The sequence below is a fragment of the Homo sapiens genome, chromosome 16 (assembly GCF_000001405.40).
Source record: "Homo sapiens chromosome 16, GRCh38.p14 Primary Assembly".
NCBI classification, from domain to species: domain Eukaryota; kingdom Metazoa; phylum Chordata; class Mammalia; order Primates; family Hominidae; genus Homo; species Homo sapiens.
Window position 1 is genome coordinate 64983362 of NC_000016.10, and position 24858 is coordinate 65008219.

The window sequence follows — 24858 nt, forward strand, 5'->3', positions numbered from 1 at the left end:
GAAACAAGCCCGGCTGCCTGGGAAACAACTTTCTAATTAGTGCTCTGGATGTTGCTGAACTACCAAATGTTTGGAAAGAGTTTCATCTTTTAAGGCGAGCATCTGCCTGCCATGCTGTTGTCATTTGCCTGGCAAACGCTTATTCTGAATGGGCATATAGTCATGGGGCTTATTCCTGATCTAATTTTGCAGTACTCTACACTAAAGCTGATGATCCCAGTTTCAACAGGGTTAAGCAAGTTCAATATCCTTGATACTTTTTCTATCATCTTCCCACCTCCATCTTCCCAGAGTCAGGAAACACTACCTTTTCCTAAATCTAAATCTGCCCCCAGCCTTTCCATCATCCTGGGACCCAGCAGTTCCTTTATCCTTGGCTAGGTTACTGAGCAGCAGAAAGGAATGATATTTATAGGCTGAACATACAAGATTGCTGCAACTTCTAAAAAATCCTTTCAAATATTAGATAGCATTAAACACTGGAATATGATAGTTCTGAGACTGGGTAATTTATAATCAGAAAAGTGGAAATTTTCTAATATCACATAGTCTGTTGATCTTGCTAGAGCAGAAACTTTTGTACTTGGTTTAGGCATATGCCTGAGAACCTGGAGCTATTTTCCCACTGGGAAGCCCTGTGGGTGTTGAGGATAATATCCTCATGCTGCAGTTTCACATCCCAAGCTAGGCTCTCCAGGCCTTTGCAGAGGTTTATGTGGGATGTACTTTCCCAGTTTGGCGAGATTCCAAGTCTGGTAGTCAGTTCAAGCCTCATTGCCTTGTGAAGTCCTCCTCAACAGCCCCAGATAGATTTGTGTGGCCCCCTAGTGGCCCTTTGGCAGCCCTTCATTTCCCTCCCCAGCGAGGTGGGGGTTGGAGTGGAATGGAGGGGAGCATCCCTTAGAAGTCTACTGAGTCTTACTGCTCTTTGCTGATCTTTGTCCCACAGTAGGCAAGAATGACTGTACCAAGTGATCATATGCATCCATCATTTTGACTGAATGAAGAGTGGGGCTGATAGATGCTTAACATTTAGACATTTGCCTACAATTTATTCCCTTCCTCCCTCCAAAACAAGATGTGAGGTAGTTTCCCATGTGAACATTTATATCCATGTTATGAGTAGTTGAAATAAAGCTAAATGAGGCAACACATTGCATAAGCCATAAAATTCTTAATACCCCGTAGTTTACTAATCCCACCTCTGAAAATCTTCCCTGAGGGATTAATTCAACAGAAAACCAAAACAAACAATATTCAAAAATGCATGATATTTGTTAGATATAATAGAAGGTTATATCTAATCTGTGGAAATGTACACACAAAACACCAAATCCAACTGTGAGATTTTATTAAGGACATAATGATTCGTCAATAGGATGGGATGTTATGTAGTCATTAAAAATGATTATGTACATTATATAACAGCATGTAAAATGTTTATGATGTGACATTAAGTTAACAAATCAGATCACCCTCTGATTGCAACCGTGTTAAATGTTATGTATCCACATCTATATACGTGCGGACAAAGAATATAAAGAAAAATCAAACATAAAAAGAGTTTTATTAAAACAGGGAATATTAAAAATGCCTTATAATTCTGCTCTGACACTGCTTTTCAAGGAGTTTATCTGGTTGAAAATAAATAGCTCAGACACTGTGCGGTGATTTCTCTGAGATAGATGGGATTCCCATTTAGTCAAAGGTGCTGCGTGAACAGATTGGATTTTCCCCTCTAAGTCCACGAAGCCACCTAAAACCTCATCTTTATTTGACCCTGGTTCTTCCTCAGCTAACCACACAGAGATTGTCCAAATACCCCAAGGGTAGTTTCTCTCTTTCCTGTGCACTATTAAACTAAGACACAGTCAGAACTCAAGAGGTATTTATTGTTTTCTAAAATATTCAATAAATGAATGATTCTATCTAGTAATTATTTCTTGAATTCTTCTCCTTCACTACTATCTCACTACCTCTTCTACCTTCTTCAATTCTTTGTAACATCTCCCTTGAATTTTAACAAGTTTGTTTGTTGGTTTTACCGTATATATCTTAAGATTCTCAAGATTGAAGGTATTGCAGTTTCTTAAATGTGTCCTGTTTCCATTGATACTAGCCCATCATGAGTTATTTTTTCTGCCTTTTCTGTCCTTAACTATCCAGCAAATTTCTCCTCATCTATCAAGACTCAGCTTGAGAACTGCCCCCACAAGAAGTCATTCATGTCCCATGTGCATAGGCCTTATCACACTATTGCAGTCAATTTTCAACTGGGGAGTGATTTTGCTCCCAGTTACTCCAGGGCTATTAGGCAATGTCTAGAGTAATTATTTTTATTATTATTATCAGGACTGTTGGGTGGGGTAGAGCACGTGCTTAATGACCTTTAGTGAGGGGAAGCCTGGGATACTAGATACTACCAAATATCCTACAATGCGCAGAACAGCCTCCTACAACAAAGAATTATCCAGCCCTAGACATCAACACTGCTAAGGCTGAGAAAACCCTCTCGGTTTTAATTATTGTATCACTTCACTGTCCTGTTAAATTGTGAACTCCCTGTGGTCAAGACTCTGCCTCTTCAACTTTAGATTTCCAGCCTCTGGCAAAGGGCCTGCCTGACAAATAGTAAGAACTCAATAACTCTTGGTGGAAAAATGGGTGAATAAATTAGGAAATAAATAAAAACACTAAGTTAAAAAATACTTTAAAATGCAGAAATATTGCCATAATGTCTCTATAGACTTTTACAGTATTAAATTGCATGGAATGACTTTCACAAGGAGTCATATTTTTACTCTGTTAAATTCATCTATAATTTTTCTTTTTTTTCCCCCGGTGGACATTTGGAACTTTGTGCTAGAAGTTTGAGCAAATGTTCTTTTACAAATGCAATAACATCTTACACTATTTAAAACCTAAGCATCAGTGCTTTATAGAAGATTATTCCTTTGCCTAGAATAAACACACTGAATTGGAGGCAAATGTGCAAATTAATCATATGCAGAGAGCTCATTTGCGACGTGTGAGTTCCATGGGGGTGATTTAAATGTTTCAGGATTTCAGAGATACAGTGTGTGTTTATGCCCTGAATACACTAAAAACAGGTGACAACCTTAGCATAACCAACTACCCAATTACATGAACAGCAAAGGATGGGAGGCAGGAATTGCTGATGTCAATGTTCATATGTCAGTGTCAAGCAGAAGAGATAGTAATATTAATTAACGAAGTAAGTTGACAGCTCTAGGCAACACACAATTCACACAGCTACTTTTCCAGAGGAGAAACCAGAATTAGTGACTGCCCTAGCTCCCTGTGGTTGATAATTAGGCTTCCTCGGTCCTACCATTCATCCATTAATGTAGACTTTTCCAAGTATCCAAATTTCACCCCAATTTCCATATCCTTCATTTTCTTTCTTTTTTTATAACAATCACCCCCTACCTTTTCTTTGTTTTGTGCTCTATAATATTTTCCCCAACCCCAACATACTTTAAAAGTCTGTGAAAGGTCAGTTTCTTAGCACAGGTCACTCCTTGCTCCCCCACCTGAAAGATTCCTTTCAGGACCTGTCTTCCCCCACTGGTCCTTCCCTCCTCTTTAGCTACTGGCCTCTTTATTGATGCTTCAAATTAATTTTCTATCAGTGTTAGAGTCCAGTCTTTTCCATCGCACCAAGGAGTTTAATATTCATGCTATAAAACTAAGTTGAAAATGAACGCTTGATTAAAACCAAGGTAATCCCATCTTCCAATTCCGATTTAATGCTCCATACACTTTCATGATGGAGAGGTGTTGATTTCTCAAGTGGTAAATCACGGGGGGAAACCTTTTTAGAATGTACGGGAATTATTTCTTCACTTGGAAGTGAATCTTATCTGGCTCTTCTTTACAAACGCTTTCCAGGCCAGCTGTTTTCAAAATGTCTTGAGAGGGAAGTTGTTCTAGAATAACTAAGGTGTGAATTCCAGGTCGGCATGCCTGAGCTATATGACAGTGACTGGGTCAAATGATTTCATCTGTCTGAGCCCCAATCTCCTCAAAATTAAGTTGAGGTCTCTTTGCCCATTGGGATAACACTACCTACTTCATACTTTTGTTTGTTTTTGTGAAAAGTAAATGAAATGATGTTTGTAAGAGGATGGTGCTGTGTCTGGCCAGTAGTCAGTATTGAGCGCATGTAAAAAAGAAGAAACACTAAACTTCTCTTTGTAATAAATTAATTCCAGATACATGTTTTTGGAGACTGACTATGAGGGGAGGTCCACAGGCTCTTTGACTAGGGGAGAAGGTCCATTATTGTTGCTTCTCCAGGTTCACTTGAGATAAAAACAAGTAGAGAAGGCTTCAGTTTCACAGAGGGTCCAGCAATGCAGTGAATCTTGAATGTTGAAACAGTAAGAGTTCTGAACAGCTTATCTAACAGATTCAGTGTGGCAGAGCTAAGGGGGGAATTCCATGCATGCTCAGGGCTGCTTCTTCAAAATCTAGATTTATCTCATTGTCCTTCCCTCCATGGGAGAACTGTGCTTCCCTCCATCGGAAAACATTTAAGAACTAACTAGCAATCTCAGGCAGGTATCACCAGCCCCTTTGTCAGCTTCTCTGCAGTAACAGAAAGGAATACAATTCTGTGATCTTCCAGAGCTCAGAGCTCAACTACAAAGTCAGGTCAGCCCCTGGTTTCGCAAATTCTCATTTCTTAACCGTCGCCTCCCTGTTTCTTGCAGTGTTGCCTTGGCAGAGCAGGCCATACCACTGACACGTCTGATTCCTTACCCTAACTCACCTTTTTCAGCTTTATCACCCCCTCCTGTGTTTCATAGTCCGTTGTGATTTCAAACGATTCCATACCATCTCCATCAACAATATTGTATGTGACTAAGCCATTTTCTCCAATGTCTGGATCTTTAGCTTTCACTCTTCCTACTTCCTCCCCAGGGACGGCTGCTTCTGACACAGACATCTGGTATACGCCTAGAAGAAGAAGACATCTATTTTTATTTTCTCTTTTATTTGGCAGCTGTAAGACTATAGATTTCATTGAATCCCAATAAATTTCTCAAAGGATTTGAAATTGAACTTTCTATTGACTGAAAACATGAAAGAAGTGAGTGGATGTGGGGAGGAGGATCCCACATGGCCTGCTTGTCAAAAGAATGTGTTCTACGAAGGGTGATAAAACAATATCTGGGTCCAGGTGAAATGCTGGGGTCACCTGCCACATGTAAGGGAGAAAAACAATGCTCTGTTACATTTCCCATCAGGTAATGATGGAGAACCATGCATGTCTTCATTTAGCAAAATAGCTGAAGCTTCTTTTCATGTCTTCAGGATGGTCCATGAGTTAACTCCAAGGCTCACTTATGGTATTGCGAAGAGCCCAGAAAAAAAAAATTCTCTGTTTAAAAGCCTTCCTTCAACAGCTCCATAGTTACTTTAAAAATGCAAACTTTAACATCCCTCCCTGTCTAACTCTATATTCGACACTCCCCTTATTTCACCTCCTTCGCAACTTGCCTGCTTCACAAGTTGGTCATGCGTTACCTTCTCCAGAAGGCTTTCCTGCAGTGTGACCCTCCTATATATTTATTTAATGTTTATTGGGAGCCTAATACTGTACATGGAGGTACTGTCCTAGTGCCAGGACACTGTTTTGTTTGCTTGTTTTGTTTACTACTAAACAAAACAGTCAAGATTCCTCTCTTAATGAGGCCGACTAAAGAGAAAAAATAAAAACAAATGTAAACACACTCTGATGTCACTGCAATGAAAAAGGAAAATAAAGTAGGGTAAAAGGGTGAGGGTTCTGAGAGTGGGTGTGTGGTTGTGGGTGTGTAAGTGCATGATTGTGTGTGAGGGTGAGGGGGTAAATGTGTGAGTGGCCATGAGTGATTGTGTGGGCATGAATCTGTTGTGTAAGAGTGTGAGTGTGTGTATGAATGTGAGCTATTTGTGAGTGAGTTTGTGTATGTGTATGAGTGTGATTGAACACGCATGCTTGTGTTAATAATGTGTGGGTGATAAGCAGAAAGAGGGAGAGATTGGTTTTGCGTAGTGTGGTAGGAGAAGACATTCTTTAGAAAAAGGAATCTAAAATGACTGAGGAAGACAATGACGTGCATATCTGCAGGATAAAAACTACCAGCCAGGTGATTAGCAAATGGCAAAAACCCTAAGGTGAGAAGATCCTGAATACTTGCAGAGGAGCAAGAGGAGGAGAGTGACTACAGCCTTCTGGTGAGAGAGAAGGGCTGTAAGGAAGTGGAGGCCAAATTGCGTAAAATAGACCATTGTGGGGAATGGAAAAGACTTCAGGTTTTGTTTAAACTTGGGGAAATCACTGGAAGGTTTGCACTAAGTAGCTAAGATTCAACATTATCTTATTTGCTTTTCACATTTAATACTCTGTGCAACACACAATATAGGGAAGCCAGGGTTGAAAATCTTTCCTCTATCATTTCCAAGCAAAGTGGTCTTGGGCAAGTTACTTCAGCTCATTATGTTTTAATTTCCCCTTACAGAGATTTCATCAGTTCTAATACTTTGTCTATATTTATCAATAGTATTTTGCTTTGCAACTTTCTTTTGGATTCATAATCTATTTAATCTCACCATGCCCTCTATATTAAAGGATGAGTGGGAAGTGGGAGTCCCTTGTAGATAATTACCAATTAATGTGAAGGTTTAAAAAAAAATGTCCTATGTGGATTTTGTCCAAATCTCATTCAAGTTCACGGCAGTGAAACCAGTAAAACCAGTACAGTAGCAATGTAACTTTACTATATGATTGTCTATGACCAAGGGCAGTAAAGGCTGCCTGCTAATAATTCTGCTTGACCTTTCTTTTCCAGCTCACCAGACAATCGTACAGTGTGGATAATGGAGCATGCAGCTCTTTGAATGTTATATGAGCCTCAGGCTTATTGAGGATGCTGAACTTGTGCCCGGCCAGGCAAAAGAGTCTTGTGTAGATTCTTGCTTTTGAATTCCTTTGAGTAACCACAGTGCCTTCCTGGGGCCACATTTAGTAGCCTTCCTTGTTATCTCATTTGCAAAATGTTCCATTTCTCTGATAGTAAGCTCACAGGCTCTAACTGAAAAAGACACTTTCATGATGAACCCCCCCATGCATTAGCAGCACCAGCAGCACCACAGTCATACTGTCCATTCATACACATCTGTACATACATAGACAGACTTGTGTTCAAACTCTGACTTTGCCACATTTCTAGGGCAACTTATGCACTTTTTACGGAAACCAGTTTTATCTGTAAAATGTAGGCTCCTGCAGAGATTTACAATAGTAGTGACTATTCATTAAATGATGGTAGTTGCTATAATTACAATTATTAATAATAACCTTTCAAAATCATTGTTTTTCATTTAATTCCCTCTGCAATTTTATAAATTTTGTAGAACAGCCATAATCCCCCAGATAACAATGGCTAGAATTTGTTGACGACTTATAGACAGTTGTCATTATAAGATTTTACACTAGCTCCTTTAGTTCAAACAGTAATCCTATTAATTAGGTACTGTGGAAGACTGTATTTTCCAAAACATGGCCAAAACAATATCTCCCATCCCACATGCTTTTCCTTCAACATGACTTTGACAGGTCTTCCATTGAAAGGTGGGGTCTACATGAACTCCCCTTAGATTTGTGAGCCTTATGACTCCAGTGGAAACATTTGGTGGCTTATGACTCCAGTTTCCAGTGGAAACTTCTGAAGCTAGTTAACAAAAGGCAAGACAATTTCTGCCTGGTGCCCTTGGGGATCACACTTTCCAAAACCAGCCCACGCAGAAAGGAAGCAGCAATCAACACAAACTTGCCAGCCATGCAAGTAAGCTGGTTTGGAAGTGGATCCTCCAACCCCAGTGGAGCTATCCCCAGTTGTTGCTATGGAGAACAGAGGCATGCTGTCTCCTCCAAGCCTTGCCCAAATTCCAGACACATGATAAAAACAAATTATTGTTATTATTTTTATTGTTTTAAACCACTAAGTTTTCCAGCAATTTGTTACACAGTAATTGATAACTGATTCAGGGACTGTTATATCCAGGTTAGAAATGAGGACACTGAGGCAGAAAAGGGTTAATTAATTACTAGATTGCATCACTACTACCAAGCAAAATACTTAGCAAAAACGATATTTTGTTTCCAGGGTTGTAGAACTTTTTACATCTTTTCATTCTCCTACTACCTCTACTCCCCGACATTGTTGTTGTTGTTGTTGTCTTGTTTTTGTGTTTTGTTTTTGTAAGAATGATATGAATTGCCCTTAGTTTTCTAGATTTTCTTTTTGATACCTCAGTAAAGCAGGAATAGGTTAGAGGAGGGAGAGAGCTGGCTGTGTCACCATGGAAAAGTGAAAGCCAAGTCCACCTACTTACTCTGCGGAAACTTTGGTGGGTTGTCATTGACATCGGTCAGTGTGATCGTCACTTTGGTTGTCCCTGAGAGTCCGCCCATATGTCCACCCATGTCCTTGGCCTGGATCACCACGTGGTACTCCTCCTTGGCCTCCCTGTCCATGTTGGGTAGGGCTGTTCTGATGATACCTGGACAGGTAAGCAGGCAACATCACAGATATTCGTTTATAACATTATGACAACAAGAAAGTTCTGAGCACTGAGGAAGCAATGCTGAATAAAATATCCCATGCCCTCAGCAAGAATCATTTCAACATGGTAATTACAACCAAAGGCAGCCATACTGAAGCATCATTATGTCTTTTCAAGCAAATCATAAAAATTACTATACAGCATTTGTATTTATGTTTTGTTGTACATTCAAGTAATAACCCTATTCTTCTCAGATATAAACACCCTAAAGACTGAAATACTTGAGTGGTCATTGCATGAATATCCATGACTAAACTCATACTTTTTGACTTCCAGCACAATCTTCTGTAAGTCTATTGCTACATACAATTCATGGAAATGTTTTGATGGTGCATATTAAGTTTAAAGCAGGAGGTGCATATTTCATGCAATACATTAAAGTGTAAATATTAATTTTTAAAAGAGTGAACCAAATCGGTTAAAATATATACAATGCTCATATAAGCACATACTGTCTATTATCACCTGTCACGGAAAACAATGATAAATTAATAACTGAATTCTGCATGATTGCTGGATATTGGCACATGAGTGCCATGCTCACTTAAATCTTTAGGAGACCTTTGGAAGCTTTTTCTCTCTGTAGATATGGCAACAGTTATGTGAGGAATATAGAGAGCACTGTGGAAGACTTAGTCCTTATTGCTCTCTTACTTCTGATATTAAAGTTGAGTTTTTAGATTATAGTTGTTATTGGGTCATCGTGAAATATGGGAAAACCAACAATAAATGTTTCATGGTGTACTAACTGTGTGATAGGCACAGGCCAAGTATCTAATCCTCACACTAACCCTATAGGGTAGCCCTCTGTATTCCTTTTTCATATTTGAGAAAACAGAGTATTAAATAAGTTCTGGTCAGGCCTGGGACTTCTTATTCACCATGTGTCACAAATCACAGTGACATTCCACAGTACCTGTCTGTGCTTCCACCGAAAAATAGGGTTGTCCTTCGAGGATACTGTACACTAACTTGGCGCTATTTCCATAAGTGGGGTCATCTGCATCTGAAGCTGTCACCTGGATTACTGACGTTCCTTAAAAGTGAAATAAATTAATTAGCAACATCTCCTCAGATTTTCAAATTATGTTCTTGTTTACAAAGTTTTATTCTAAAATTAACCCTGAAGAAGGCACCACAATTATTCAACATTCTCTCATTTTCCTGGAGTTGAGATGCAAAATAACCAGCCAACCAACCTTCCTTCCTTCCTTCCTTCCTTCCTTCCTTCCTTCCTGCTCTATAAAAATGGCCACAGTTTAAAAATGAACTTTCTGTATTTATAGTACATCCTACATTGGTTGGTGATTAAAATAATATTATAAATATTATTGCAAAAATATCTTACAACTCATGCACTTGAAATGTTCAGTATATCAAATAATTACATTAAAATCTTCCCAGAGTATAATAAATGATAATTAACGATAAATTGCTTTCAGGAAAGGACAGAGTGCAATCTTCCATCTGTAGCAGAACAATAAATACATCATTTTATTGTTGCTTTGCATGTAATAAAATTGCTGCTAATTCTACAATTTAATTAATTTATGGCCATAAATACTGAGCAGAATGCTGTTCCCTACTGGCATGAAAATTGCATCTTCCCACCTGTAGCTGGTCTGGTAGCCATATAACAGAAATCACCAGTAAACATCTGGTGAGAGGTAAGGGAAGCATTCATGGGTCAGAACGAAGGGAAACCAGGAAATTGAAGAAAGATGGGGTTCTGCTTTTCCTAAAAACAACCTTTGTTCCTGGCTGGTCACAAATAGCAAGTATCTGGGGCATGGCATGTTGGGCTTCAGAGTGGGGAGAGAGGAGCTGGAAGAAGAAAACCAGTAATTATCGAATTTCTCTGTGCCAGCATGATCTGGGGGCACATTCCATGTATTTTGCCAGCATTCCTCTGCTGGGCATTTTTTACATCTACTGTATTAGTGAGAAATTGAACTTGAGATATATGAAGCTTTGTAATCTATTTCACAAAGTTGGTAATTGCCAAAGTCTAACCCCAATCCAGCACACAACAAAACTCAAGTTATTTCTGTAACATTTTCAGCAGAGGGGCAAGGTTCTATGTGGGAGGCAAGGGAGCCAGTTTACACAGCCTATCACTACCTTTAATTTATAGGATTGTCAGTGATTTTTGTGTGGTGTACATCTCACTTTTTTCTAGTTACTCTTCTATAATTCATTATTTCATAGAAACAATCTCTTTGGAGCTCTTCCCATTTGTCAGTCACTATTCTAGGCAGGATAGATTTATAAAGGAAAATACCATCATGGTGTGGCTAGGGAAATTATTAATTTTAAATGCTTAATTTCCTTCTAGAACTCTGCTACATCCTTTACAATGGTTTTGTATTTCACATCTATTTCATTTAACCTTCAACATAGTTTATATTATCCTCATTTTATAGATGGCAAAATAAAAACTTAGAAAGGTATAATAGGTTGCCTGGGTTCGTAAGGCTGATTAGGAGTACAGCCATGATTCATAGTACTGTCTGACAACAACGACTGTACTGTCATATGCCATAATACAATGTCTGAGTTCTCAAAATAATAAGAGCAATCCATGACAAAGCCACATCCAGCATCACACTGAATGAGCAAAAGCTGGAAGCATTCTCCTTCAGAGCAGGAATAAGACAAGGATGCCCACTCTCACCAGTCCTATTCAACATAGTACTGGAAGTCCTAATCAGAGCAATGAGGCAAGAGCAAGAAATAAAAGACATCGAAATAGGAAAAGAAGAAGTCAAATTATTTCTCTTCACTAATGATATGATTCTATACCTAGAAAACTCTAAAGACTCTGCCAAAAGGCTCTTAGAACTGATCAACAACTTCAGTGAAGCTTCAGAATACAAAATCAAGGTACAAAAGTCAACGGCATTTCTATACATCAATAACACTCAAGCTGAGGACCAAATCAAGAATACAGTGCGATTCACAAGGGCCACAAAACAATAAAATCCTAGGAATACATCTAACCAAGGAGGTAAATGATCTGTACAAGGAGAATTTCGAAACACTGCTGAAAGAAATCATAGATGACACAAACAAATGGAATATTGATCCTTTCAATGATATTGATTCTTTCAACCCATGAGCATAGAATGTTTTCCCATTTGATATCATTAAAATGGCTACACTGCCCAAAGCAATCTACTGATTCAATGCTATTTCTATCAAACTAGCAACATCATTTTTTCACAGAATTAGAAAAAAAAACTGTTCTAAGACTCATATGGAACCAAAAAAGAGCCCGAATAGTCAAAGCAATCCTAAGCAAAAAGAAAAAAGTTGGAGGAGTCACCTTACCCAACTTCAAGCTATACTACAAGGCTACAGTAACCAAAATAGCATGTTGCTGGTGCAAAAACAGACACATAGACCAGTGGAACAGAATAGAGAACCCAGAAATAAAGCCACACACCTACAGCCATCTGATCATCAACAAAGTTGACAAAATTAAGCAATGAGGAAAGTACTCCTTAATCAATAAATAATGCTGGGATAGCTGGCTAGCCTCATGCAGAAGAGTGAAACTGGACCCCTACCTTTCCCCATATACAAAAATTAACTCAGGATGAATTAAAGATTTAAATGTAAGACCTCAAACTATAAATGCCCTAGAGAAAAAAACCCAGGAAACACCATTCTGGACATTGGCCTTGGGAGAGAATTTATGACTAGGTCCTCAAAAGAAATTGCAACAAAAATAAAAATTGACAAGCAGGACCTAATTACACTAAAGAGCTTCTGCACAACAAAGGGAAACTATAAACAGAGTAAAGAGACAACCTACAGAATGGGAGAAAATATTCACAAACTACACACCCAACAAAGGTCTAGTATCCAGAATCTATAAGGAATTTAAACAATTCAACAAGTAAAAAAACAATGTGGGCAAAAGTGGGCAAAAGACATGGATGGACACTTAGCAAAAGAAGATATGCAAATGGCTTACAAATATAAAAAAATTGGTCGTCATTAAACATCAGAGAAATGTAAATGAAACCCATAATGAGAAACCATCTCCCACTAGTTAGAATAGCTATGATTAAAAAGTCAAAAAATAACATGCTGGTGAGGATGTGGAGAAAAGGGAACACATATACACTGCTGGTTGGAATGTACATTAGGTCACTCTGAAAAGCAATTTGGAGAAGTCTCAAAAAAAACAGAATTACAATTCAAGGCTGGGCACGGTGGCTTATGCCTGTAATCCTAGCACTTTGGGAGGACGAGGTGAGCAGATCACCTGAGGTCTGGAGTTCCAGATCAGCCTGGCCAACATGGCAAAACCCCTGTGTACTAAAAATACAAAAAAATTAGCCAGTGTGGTGGCAGGCGCCTGTAATCCCAGCTACTCAGGAGGCTGAGGCAGGAGAATCGTTTGAACCCAGGAGGCAGAGATTGCAGTGAGCCGAGATCGTGCCACTGCACTGCAGCCTGGGCAACAGAGCGAGACTCTGTCTCAGAAAAAAAAAAAAAAAAGTATTACAATTCAACCCAGCAATCCCATTACTCTTTATAGACCCAAAGGAAAATAAATCGTTCTACAAGAAAAACGCCTGCACTTGTATATTTATTGCAGCACTATTCACAATAGCGAAGACATGGAGTCAACCAAGGTGCCCATCAACAGTGGATTGGATAAAGAATATGTGGTGTATATGTACCATGGAATACTATGCATGGTGGCATGAATAATATCATGCCTTTGCATCAACACGGATGCAGCTGGAGGCCATTATCCTGAGCAAATTGACACAGGAACAGAAAACCAAATACCACATGCTTTCATTTATAACTGGAGGTATAAATGAACCCAATGTTTACCCAGTGGGAATAATAAACACAGGATTACTAGAGTGGAGCCAGAGGACAAGTGCCGAAATCTGTTGGTTACTCTGTTCACTACCTGAGTGATGGGGTCATTCATACCACAAACCTCAGTGTTACACAGTATATTCATGTATATTCACTCAATAAACCTGCACATGGGCCGGGCACGGTGGCTCACGTCTGTAATCTCAGCACTTTGGGAGGCTGAGGTGGGTGGATCACTTGAGGTCAGGAGTTCAAGACCAGCCTGAACAACATGTGAAACCCCGTCCGTAATAAAAATACAAAGAAATTAGCCGGGCGTGGTGGCGCGCTCCTGTAATCCCAGTTACTCAGAAGGCTGAGGCAGGAGAATTGCTTGAAGCCGGGAGACAGAGGTTGTAGTGAGCCAAGATGGCATTACGGCACTCCAGCCTGAGTAACAGAGGGAGACTCTGTCTCAAAATAAATAAATAAATAAATAAATAAATAAATAAATAAACAAACCTGCACATGTACCCCCTGAATCTAAAATAAAAGTTGAAACTAAAAAAAAAAAAAAAGCCTGAATTTTATCCCTAAACATCAATGAGCCCGCAAAGGTGAGAATAATGAAAATTTTCCTGGATTATATATTTTGATGATTTGCCTTTCCACCCCATCCCCACCCTTGACACTCAGTTGCTGACACTGCTGTTTCCTCTGTATGGATTTATTTGATATTTGTTGTTTCTCATTATAATACACAGGCTAAACACCAAGAGGCTGAAGGACTGGGCAGGGAAAATGGAAGAGACAAAGGTGGGAAATGGTTCAGGCTGGCTTTTGATAAGTACTTGACTTTTCCTGGTGGAGAAGGAATATACCATTTTCTGGCATAAAAAGCTCTGTATGCACAGTGGAAGGATCTTAGCGTTCTAGAGTCAAACCTATCTTTCTTAAGTAGGTTGATTCCTATACTTGCTGGATTTTCTCATCTGTAAAATGTTCCTGAATTCATTTGAGCTCTAAAACTCTTTTAAGCAGACTCACTCCCTGATTAGAACAGTTCTACTCACTGTTTGAAAGACAAACCTTTCTTAATATGAGGAATGTTTCTCAAAAGAAACATTATGCAAATGTTTCATTATGTGCATGTTATAAAGAAGGCTATTGCCAGAAGGTGGCTAATTCTTTGAATAAATCCTTTAAAAAATTATCCTTTAGCAACTTAATGTGTCTTCAAGCATGTTGAAAAGATATACGTACTTCTGAACATAGTGACATAGTGCTGTGGTTAAATGTGCATTTTAGATCCATTTAATAGCTCAAATGTCCCTACAGAAATTAGTTAGCTTGTTTCTGGCATGGGTTTCCTATCTGTGAAATACGGTGAGTTGGAATTACCTCATTGTAAAGATTAATCATTGCAAAAGCTAAATAAAATAGTGCATGTAAGTCATTAATTAGCACAATGTCTACAGGCAACAGATATTACCAGTGTCATTACCTATTAGACATCAATACGCACTAGCGACTGGATGTATATTATCTCTATTCCTACAAGACTAGAAATTGTTATTCCCATTTTACAGAGGAACAAAAGAATTTTTGTTCCTTTTGTTATTTTGCCATAAAAGATAAAGAAGAAGCTCTACTTCCTGATTTGGGAGAACGGGCTTCAGCCCACCCACCACAGAGACACCAGGCCTGGAAGCAGAGCAGGCCTCCCACACCGTACGCACCCACATTGGACCTCTCAGGCACGTTGGCATGATAGGTCTCGTGCAGGAACTCCGGAGGGTTGTCATTAATGTCCTGGACCTTGACAATGAATTCCGACGGTGGCTCCAGTGGCCGATTGGTGTCCCTGTCCACCGCCTGAGCCATCAACGTGTACTGGGCTCTCTCTTCTCGATCCAACGTCTTGGTGGCATGAATGTTCCCTGATTTGTCATCAATCACAAAAATGGTTCCAGCTCCTTCCCCTGAGAGAATGTATTTAATGTTCCCATCACCAGAGTCAATATCTGAATGAAGCTGGAAGAAAGAGAAATTGAGATTTTTAATTCCATGAGGAAAGCAGTGGGGAAACTCACTTACAAGTGATTGCAACAATCTGCTGCGCACACACACACGTCATGAAAGGGAGATGTTCTCATCTCCATTTTACAACAGGAGAAAGGCAATCTTAGAGAATATCATAGCCTTGGCCAAGGTCACACTGCAGAACAGTGAAGCCAGAGTTCAAATATATATATTTTTAATTCTAAGATTCATGCTCTCCTTTCACCTCTCTCCATATATATGCGCATATGCAAAATATAAAAACCTAAACGTATCTGTCAATAGTTTGAAATAAATGTATGTTTATTTTTAAAAATATATAAGCAAACATTCATGCAATAAGTAAGTCTTCCTCTCAGCTCTGACTCCCATTCCTTCATTTTCTCCTCTGTTCAGAGACAATCACTGTAACCAGTTTCTTGTGAATCCTATAAGAGATATTCTATTCTATGCATATGCAAGGAAATCTACACAGATACATATGTACCCTAGTTTATTGTTATACAATAAAGTTCCAGAGTACACACATCATTCTTCACTTCATCCTTTTCCTCTAACAATAAATTCAGGTGACTATTCCACATTTATAACTATAGATCTTCCTCATCTACTGTATGGAGGTTATTATTTTTTAAAAAATTTTTTGTTTTGGGTTTTTCTTTTTTTTTGAGGTGGAGTCTCACTCTGTTGCCCAGGCTGGAGCGCAATGGCATGATCTCGGCTCACTGCAGCCTCTGCCTCCCATGTTCAAGCGATTTCTCCTAAATCAGCCTCCCAAGTAGCTGGGATTACAGGCACATGCTACCATACCCAGCTCATTTTTGTATTTTTAGTAGAGACAGGGTTTTACCATGTTTCCCAGGCTGGTCTCGAACCCCTGACCTCAAGTGATCTGCCTGCCTTGGCCTCCCAAAGTGCTGGGATTACACACATGAGCCACCATGCCTGGCCAATGTTTTTGTTTGTTTGTTGTTCGTTTTAGCAGTCCTTTCTAAAGAACACTTAGCTTGTTTCCTGGCTTTTGTTACTACAAACAATTCAACTTATCAGACCTTTCCAGAAGACCTGCTTTGCGGTACACAGGGTATGAGGATCTGGGGATGTGGCCTGCCTGGAAGAAGTGTCCATTCTAATGCTAAAGGTAGGTAGGACTAGTGGCATGGGTTGATATGTATACAATTTCTTAGGTGTCAGAAAGAATCTTAAACATCCCCAAGTTTTTCTTCTTTGACAGAGCTTAGAGATAAGATGATATTTGCCTAAATTCACACTTGTCAGGTCCAAGAAATCAACTAGGTCTCTTAACTACCAATCATCTTCTGTTCTGCCCTCACTCTGCTCTGTGTTTTCAAACATGAAAGTCTCCCAAAAATCACATCTGGTTTTCCTGTAGCAAAAAACTCCTCACCCCGCCTTGTTGTTCAATCTCAATTTCTGCAGCTGTCTTTTAATCCGAGTTCCTTGGTCCTCATTCTGCCCTTTGTGGGAAAAAGTAAGCATTATTTTTACTGTTCTAGTGGGCTTCAAGAGCAGTCAAGTAGAGAAAAAGACCTTGGTTCTACCTACTAAATAAGAAAACCCTTTGTAAACTAGAGAGCTTTATTCAAATGACATTTAAAATAATAAAAAGAGGCCAGGCACATTGGCTCATGCCTGTAATCTCAGCACTTTGGGACGCTGAGGCAGGCAGATCACTTGAGGTCGGGGGTTCGAGACCAGCCTGGCCAACATGCTGGCCAAGATGCTGAAACCTCATCTCTAGAAGAAATACAAAAATTAACCAGGCATGATAGCTTGCACCTGTAATCCCAGCTACTTGGGAGGCCGAGGCAGGAGAATCGCTTGAAACCAGGAGGTGGAGGTTGCAGCGAGCTGAGATCTTACCACTGTACTCCAGCCTGGCAGACAGAGTGAGACTTTGTCTCAAAAATAAATAAATTAATTAATTAAATAAAATAATAAAAACTATGATTATTATCAATGCCATTTAATATTAACAATATTAATAGTATTATTTATTACTAATGCCATTTTCATATTTTTGTTAAAATTGGTATTTATTATTTTGATTTAAATTATTATTATGAGACTAAGGCCTAGAGACCTTAACTCATGATTATTATTATGAGACTAAGGCCTAGAGACCTTGCTTATAAAGCAAGGTTGAATACATAGATTTTAAAAAATTTTGTATTGTTTCAATATCCCCAAAGATATCTAATTGATTTGCAGCGCTTCAGTGAAACCCCAATTATTTCAGCTCGGGGGTTACCTGTAGGTATGAATTACAAAGACCATTTTGTTTTCAGTCCTCTTTGTTTCTAGGGGGAAAAAATAAACAGACTTTTCTTCAGCATTTGTTATTCATAACAATGTGTTGTCGTGAAATTATGGCTAACACATTTCTGATGAATAAGTCCATTTGACAGTAAAATACAAAGCTGTTTGATGGCCTATGACGGATGAACAGAATTGCCCCAATCTTCATTCAGCCAAGTTTCCTTAATGAAGGCAAAATTTCTGCCCCACACCGCCATCTTAGGGGAGGCTTACCTTTGTTCTTCTATTTACCCTGCTGCACACCTGGCAGAAGTTAAGGGCAAGGACATACGAATGAGGAACAAGAAAGTATAAATAAAATGCTGACTTTAATGGGAATGCCCAGACATTGAATCTTTCTAGAGGCCTTCATATATTACATGTGAATTTGGCAAGTTTCTTGAAAATTAAATGGATCTATTTCATGATCAGCCAAATAACTAAAAATTTAACAAAACATTTCCTATTATTTTTCTACTTTGTTTTCAGGTTGGAAAGTAGGACATAACTTCCCTTTTTTGTGTCTAACAAAGATGATTTATACAACTGACATGGATACTTACTAGGCTCCACACACACACAGACACACACACACATTAAAAAAAAAAACAAAAACCCAGTTTCAGAAACCATTCAGTGCTATCAAGGGATCCAGTTGCTGAGGCATACGCAGCCAATTCCTAACTCCAAAGATGAATGGCTTCCCTCTCTGCATAGCACAGCATGACACAGGCTGTATTTCCACAAGAAATCTGAAAGTCCATGGTTTACCAAATTTCACTTTTTCAGGGCATCTTAAGCACTCAACCTTGAATGTCATCAAATCAAAGGTTGTTAGGAAATAAACCATCTATTCCATCCCTCCTATTTCCAGGGAACTGTCTCAGCACATTTCAAAAGAAAGATTCACAGGACCAACCACTTTATTTATTTTTCCCCTATCCAACCGGACATCAGATTCATTCTCATGTACCTAGCTTTTGAAGGTCACACACCATGAATAATACTAGTTTTCCTTTCCCCTCTTTTTTTTCTATATTTTCTTCTAGTAGGCATGACAATTGCTTACTCCAGAGATGCTGAAATGACTCTCCAGATCCTGTTTCTTCTGCAACCCCCAATCTGAACACACACACTGCTTCCCATTGAGAAAGTCCCCAAAGCAGAAGGTTCTATTCATATCTCAGAATGATTCATGCACAGCCCTTCACAACATTTAAGCTCCACATCCCTTGTCATGGCTGAAATCTCTTTTTCCTCTCTGGCACACAGCCCATCTCCTCTACTTAGGGAATTCCATATGCCAATTATTTCCATTTCCATTTCTCACGTCAACTTCCACATATTTCCATTTGGGATATAAATGAATGAAATTCCTTTGGTACATCTCTTCAAGAAGAAATTTTTCCAAACTTACACAATGTCATTGAGATTCTAACATTAATCTCCTTCAAGTATGTCAATTATGTGAACATGAAGTGCTGTTCTCATGTAAAAGAACAATTAAGATAACTTCGTAGAAATCAGTAGGGTTCAGAAACCCCTCAAACCTATTCTCTTTCCCCTTTACCTTCCACTGGATAATTCCTGTTCATCTTTTAGGTTACAGGTTATTCCCATGTTGTCCTTGAAACCTTCCTTTGACATCCCTCCCAAATATTACCATGTAAATTCATAATCATTTACATTGAATGTCCTCATTATTCTATTATTCATTTTCTTTTTTTCTTTTTTTTTTTTTAATTGCTTAGGTAACTGTCTCTTTTCCACTAGACCTCTTTGAGGTTAGGAGCTATCTTAATCTAGTTTACATTTTGCCTAGCACGGCAGCTGCTCCACATGATAGGATTTCAGTTCTTATGTATCTAAGGATCTATCTTTGTTTTTTTTTTTTTTGAGATGGAGGCCTTTGTCTCATAATAATAATTTAAACTTAAATAATAAAAATACTTTAACAAAAATGAGAAAATGGCATTAGTAATAAATAATACTATTAATATTGTTAATATTAACTGGCATTGTTAATAATCATCTTTTTTATTATTTATTTATTTATTTATTCATTCATTTTTTGAGACAGAGTCTCACTCTGTCTCCCAGGCTGGAGTACAGTGGCACATCTTGGCTTACTGCAACAACTCCTTCCCATGTTCAAGCGATTCCCCTGCCTCAGCCTCTGGAGTAGTTGGGATTACAGGCACTCACCACCACGCCTGGCTAATATTTGTGTTGTTAGTAGAGACGGGGTTTCACCATACTGGGCAGGCTGGTCTTGAACTCCTGACATCCCGTGATTCACCTGCCTCAGCCTCCCAGAGAACTAGGATTACAGGTGTGAGCCACTGTGCTGGCCGCACATATCTTTTTGCAGTTTTAATGTCACTATCATCTGAAAGATAACTGTACATTTTACTCAAATGCTAGTGGGTAGGTAATTTTCCAAACTCTCTTGAATTTGTATTTTGGACCCTCTTTCTACACTTGCACTTTTCTGGAAGGGATACACAGAGACCACAGAGCCTGGAATGGGAAGTCATCTCACTGGGTTTTACCATGCCTGTGGAAACAGGGATAAAACCACACCCAAGCTTCTGGTACATATTCATTCAGCTCTTCAAAGCTGGGTCTAGCATCAGGACATAAGTACACAAGGATGACACTGCCCTTGACACAAAGTAGCTTGAAGTCTAGTGAAGTAGACAGATTAATAAGTAGATACACTGAATACAAAAAGCAAAGCTATGATAAAGGGTCCAAAGGAGGAGCATTCAAGTTGGGATTAGGGTGTGGTCAGGGAAATGCCTCCAGCTGGAAAATGGTTAAATAAATTATGGCTATGTGCATTTAATGGGCTATTATGCAGCCATTCAAAATGGAGTTTGAGCCTGGCGTAGTGGCTCAGGCCTGCAGTCCCAGCACTTTGGGAGGCTGATGAGGGAGGATCACTTAGGTCAGAGGTTTGAAGCCAACCTGGGCAACACAGCAAGACCTTTTCTCTAAAAAAATGAAATAAAATACAGATTAGCCAGGCATGGTGGCATGAACCTGTAGTCCCAGCTACTCAGGAGGCTAAAGCAGGAGGATCCCTTGAGCCCAGGAGTTTGAGATTACAGTGAGCTATGATCACACTACTGCATGCCAGTCTGGGCAACAGAGAGAGACCCCATATCTAAATAATATGGTAAATGAGTTTTATGATATAACTCCCTAAAACTAAATGGAAAAACCTAAGAAGTATTCTCAACATGGATAAGTCTATTATTTTTTTTAAAAGTCTGGAATAACATATTATGTACAATATTTGGGTGGTTTTACTGGCTCTTCAAGCCATTGGTGTTTTCTCTCTTAGATGCCTGTGGGCCTTTTGCTTCTTTCTGGCCACAGACGACTATTCCAATGGTGGGTTGGAAAGCTCAGGATTGAGGGAAGGCAGCCTTACCCTGCCCACAAGCACGGGGTCAGGCCCGGTGTACTCCTCTATCACGAAGAACTGGTTCCAGACCCAGCCACGCTTGGAGCGCTGTAGCACCTGCCCCTCCTTGCCCTTCTCATGGTGCCCATGGAAGGAGGGCCGCAGGTGCCCCCGCCGCTCTGGGGCAAAGGCATGGCTGTGGCACAGCATGCCCAGGCACACCAGGGCGGCTTGTAAACAGTAGTTCTCCTTCATTTTTGGTTACGTGGTAGGCACAGGAGAATGCAGCTGTCACCCCTTCCACCAACTGTACGGTGGTCTTGCTGAGGGTGGCCTCCCGGACGCGTCACGCAGACCTCTCTTGGGATGGAATGTCTCTGCTGGTTGAGCTCATCACGTCAGGGCTGCCCACGTCCCCAGTTAGCTTCTGCAAGCAGAGAGAGGTTGGATTAACTGCAGGCCAAATCCCCACTTCATTTCCATTCCTTTCAGTAAGCCTTCAGGACTGGGCATGAGTTTATCACGTGGGAGCTACGGGCTTTGGGGAAGCTCACTGACTGCTTTGAGCTCAGCTTGCTCATTTATGAAGTGGGGATAAGAGTGTACCCAGTACAAAGCTGTCACTGGGATTCACTGAGTAATGCATATAAGTCTCTTAGCACAATGCCTGGTACATAGTAAGCACTCCATATTTATCTGTTATAATTGATCAAAATTGTGCTTAGATATGATTTTGTAATAAGAAAACGGGGAATTAAAGGAGTCCAGATGAGGAACATATAATCCACACTGGGGTTCAGTTTAGGGAGAGGACAGATGGCTGGACTCAATCCTTTAGTGAGGTTGCTGTAATAAGAAAGGAGAGTGTGGGATTCCATGCAGAAGGAACATCACATCCAAAAGCACAGTGTGCTCCAAGATGTTCAGCATGCCTGGAGGTAGTAACGAAGAAGGCGGGCAGGCAATGGATCCTGTTAGGGAAGGGATGTAGGGGAAGATCCCAAGAAACCATTGATGGTTACTGAAATATTTACAGGAGAAATAATGGATTAAGGTCTCTTTGGTAAATCAGTTAAGGGTATAGTGTCAATTCAAGGAGGAAGATTTGCTTTTGTCTGGCAAAGATCCATCCACGAAGCCAAAGATCCTACCTTGCTTAGCCTGGAAGTCTCAGAAAGGATATTTTACAAGCTTTCACTAACTAGGAGAAGGAAAATAAAACAAAACAGTATATCCAACCAACCAGCCCAAGGTCATGTTCCCAGCACCCAGCCATGACTCAGCTACTCAACACCAGTGAGGATAAGCCAGTAATGCCTTTCACCTTTCTACACTCCTCACAGGTTTCTGAGCCACAGTCACTCTTGTCCTCTCTCCAGCACTCTGGTTCTTATTGCCAGTCCTTAACTTCTGCCTTGGGTTCTGGACTTCTTCATTGGACTTTCTCATGCTGAAAACTTATTCTTCTCTAAGGAATTCCCCTTGCTTGTTCTCCTCTCTTAGAACCATACATTTGTTTTCTGGAGAATCACCTTCTCTCTCTGGAGTGCCACCCAGACTCCAGAGAGAGAATCAGATGAGTTCACCACCAATGTGAGGGAATCTGAGAAAGTTCTTGTGCAGGAGGATGATACATTGATATTGAGGATAACATTCTGTTTCAGCACCTGGGTCTAAATGAAACTGGAAAACTTACTGAGCATTGTAGGAATCACTGTCATCACCTAATTTTTTGTTGTCTTCTTTGGGTGAAATGGTTCAGGGAAGAAGGGAGCAAGAAGGAAACAGCATGAATCTTGGCATAGTGGAAGGTACATAGACTTGGAGATCAGATGCATCTGGATCAGAATACCACTTCCATATTTTACAATCTGGGTTACTCTGGGCATGCCAATCAATCACTCTGAACCTCCATGTTTTCATGTGAATAATGAGGATGACAAGAATTGTTGCACCCATACAGGCCTGAACACAGAGTTGGGAACTGGACATGCAATAGGTTCCTTCTTCTTTTCCCAGAGTGTCACAACATAGGGGAAGATCTCAAGAAACCACTGATGGTTACTGAAATATTTACAGGAAAAATAATGGGTCAAGGTCTGATATGGTTTAGCTGTGTCCCCACCCAAATCTCATCTTGAATTCAACATGTGTTGTGGGAGGGACCCAGCGGGAGGCAATTGAATCATGGTTGCAGGTCTTTGCCATGCTGTTCTCATGATAGTAAATAAGTCTCAGGAGATCTGACAGGTTTATAAAGGGGAGTTTCCCTGCACAAGCTCTCTCTCTTTTCCTGCTGCCATCCACGTAAGATATGACTTGCTCCTCCTCGCCTTCAACTATAATTGTGAGGCTTCCCCAGCCATGTGGAACTCTAAGGGTACCCATGCCTTGAACATGGAGATGCCCCCAAGAGGGTGATGAGGTGCTTTCTCCAAGATGCGAATTGAGAACAAATAAGTTACTTGGGATACCATAGCCATCTGACCTCAGCAACCTAGAAAATAAAAGAATTGGTGAAATTATAATTTGTAGATACAGATCCATTCCATTTTGATGAACTTTGACTTTGCCATCCCAAGTCTTTCTGTTTCCTTTGTAATCTGGCAAAGTGGTATCTGGGAGGCCACAGATGTGCAGTTAAAGCCTGGTGACTGTCACTTTTCTCAATAACACTTTGGGATGGTATTATGTTAGTCTTTATTCAAGGAATAGGGGACTTGAAACTCTTAATATTGGTTGTAAACAGACACTTTGGGATATGTAAAAGGCTACGTGGGAGAGAGAGAAAGATGGAAAAGGCAGCGTCATCATTTAACAACTTCATCCTTACATTCAGGCACTTTAATAATACATCAGATGCTGTTTCTAGAAAGCCAAACCGACTGTTTGGAAAGAGCACAAAGAAGGCCCCAGAGGACGGGTTAGATGCTAAAATGAGGCTGTATGAAACAACAGAAAGATTTCTGAGCAGAAGTCATGAAACTCAAGATTTGGTGGAGAATCTGGCACTAATTTGCCATGGAACTTCATTGATTCTACTCGCAGAGGTTCTGTCTCACTCTGTAAACTGAAGCCTGTGTAAAATTTTCTTCAAGTGGCTTCATATTCATGATTAGAGTTTCAGTGAGCTAGTGAGGGGCATTTCTTCTGATTCATACCTTGTCTCCTTACTAGACTGGAAACTTCTGAATGGATGGGATTATATCTTATTCACATTTATATGTCTGACACCTGAACACAAAGCAGGCCGTCAATACAATTTTAATATATGATTTGAATCTCACATTTCAACTCTAAACTTGACATTGTCTCTGTGGAAACTCAAGAAGAAGAAAGAAAGAAAAAGAAAACAGCATATGGTGAGGCAAGATCCTTGCCCATCTTGCACCATGCCAAGTATTAAATGCTCATTCACAGAGTGATAAATTATTCTTGCATATAAGCCATGAAGTGTATTAGAAAGAAAGGGTTTAATTAAAGTTGATATTTCTTCACCTTTTTCTTCTGGCTGCCATTTTGCTGCAAAGCACAATTATTTCTAACACTAGAAGTGTTGAAACAAGATGACAACTTTTTTCTTTTATAAAAAATGTCTAGCTTAA

At 39.7% G+C, this 24858-nt stretch overlaps 1 protein-coding gene across 4 annotated transcripts in view; it reads right to left on the reverse strand.

Annotated features, from left to right (window-relative positions):
* The window catches only part of CDH11 (cadherin 11), a 179992-nt gene that overhangs the window by 39609 nt on the left and 115525 nt on the right, over positions 1–24858 (reverse strand). For 2 of the 4 annotated variants that reach the window (NM_001797.4, NM_001308392.2), the window contains exons 3-7: positions 21281–21680; positions 15201–15495; positions 9554–9673; positions 8407–8574; positions 4796–4983 (exon numbers count right to left, since the gene is read on the reverse strand). In NM_001797.4, the coding sequence (NP_001788.2) occupies positions 4796–4983; positions 8407–8574; positions 9554–9673; positions 15201–15495; positions 21281–21508 (999 nt within the window). In that variant the 5' untranslated portion in view covers positions 21509–21680. The remainder of the gene's footprint in view (positions 1–4795; positions 4984–8406; positions 8575–9553; positions 9674–15200; positions 15496–21280; positions 21681–24858) is intronic. The other 2 variants (XM_047433486.1, NM_001330576.2) reach the window with 1 other exon arrangement.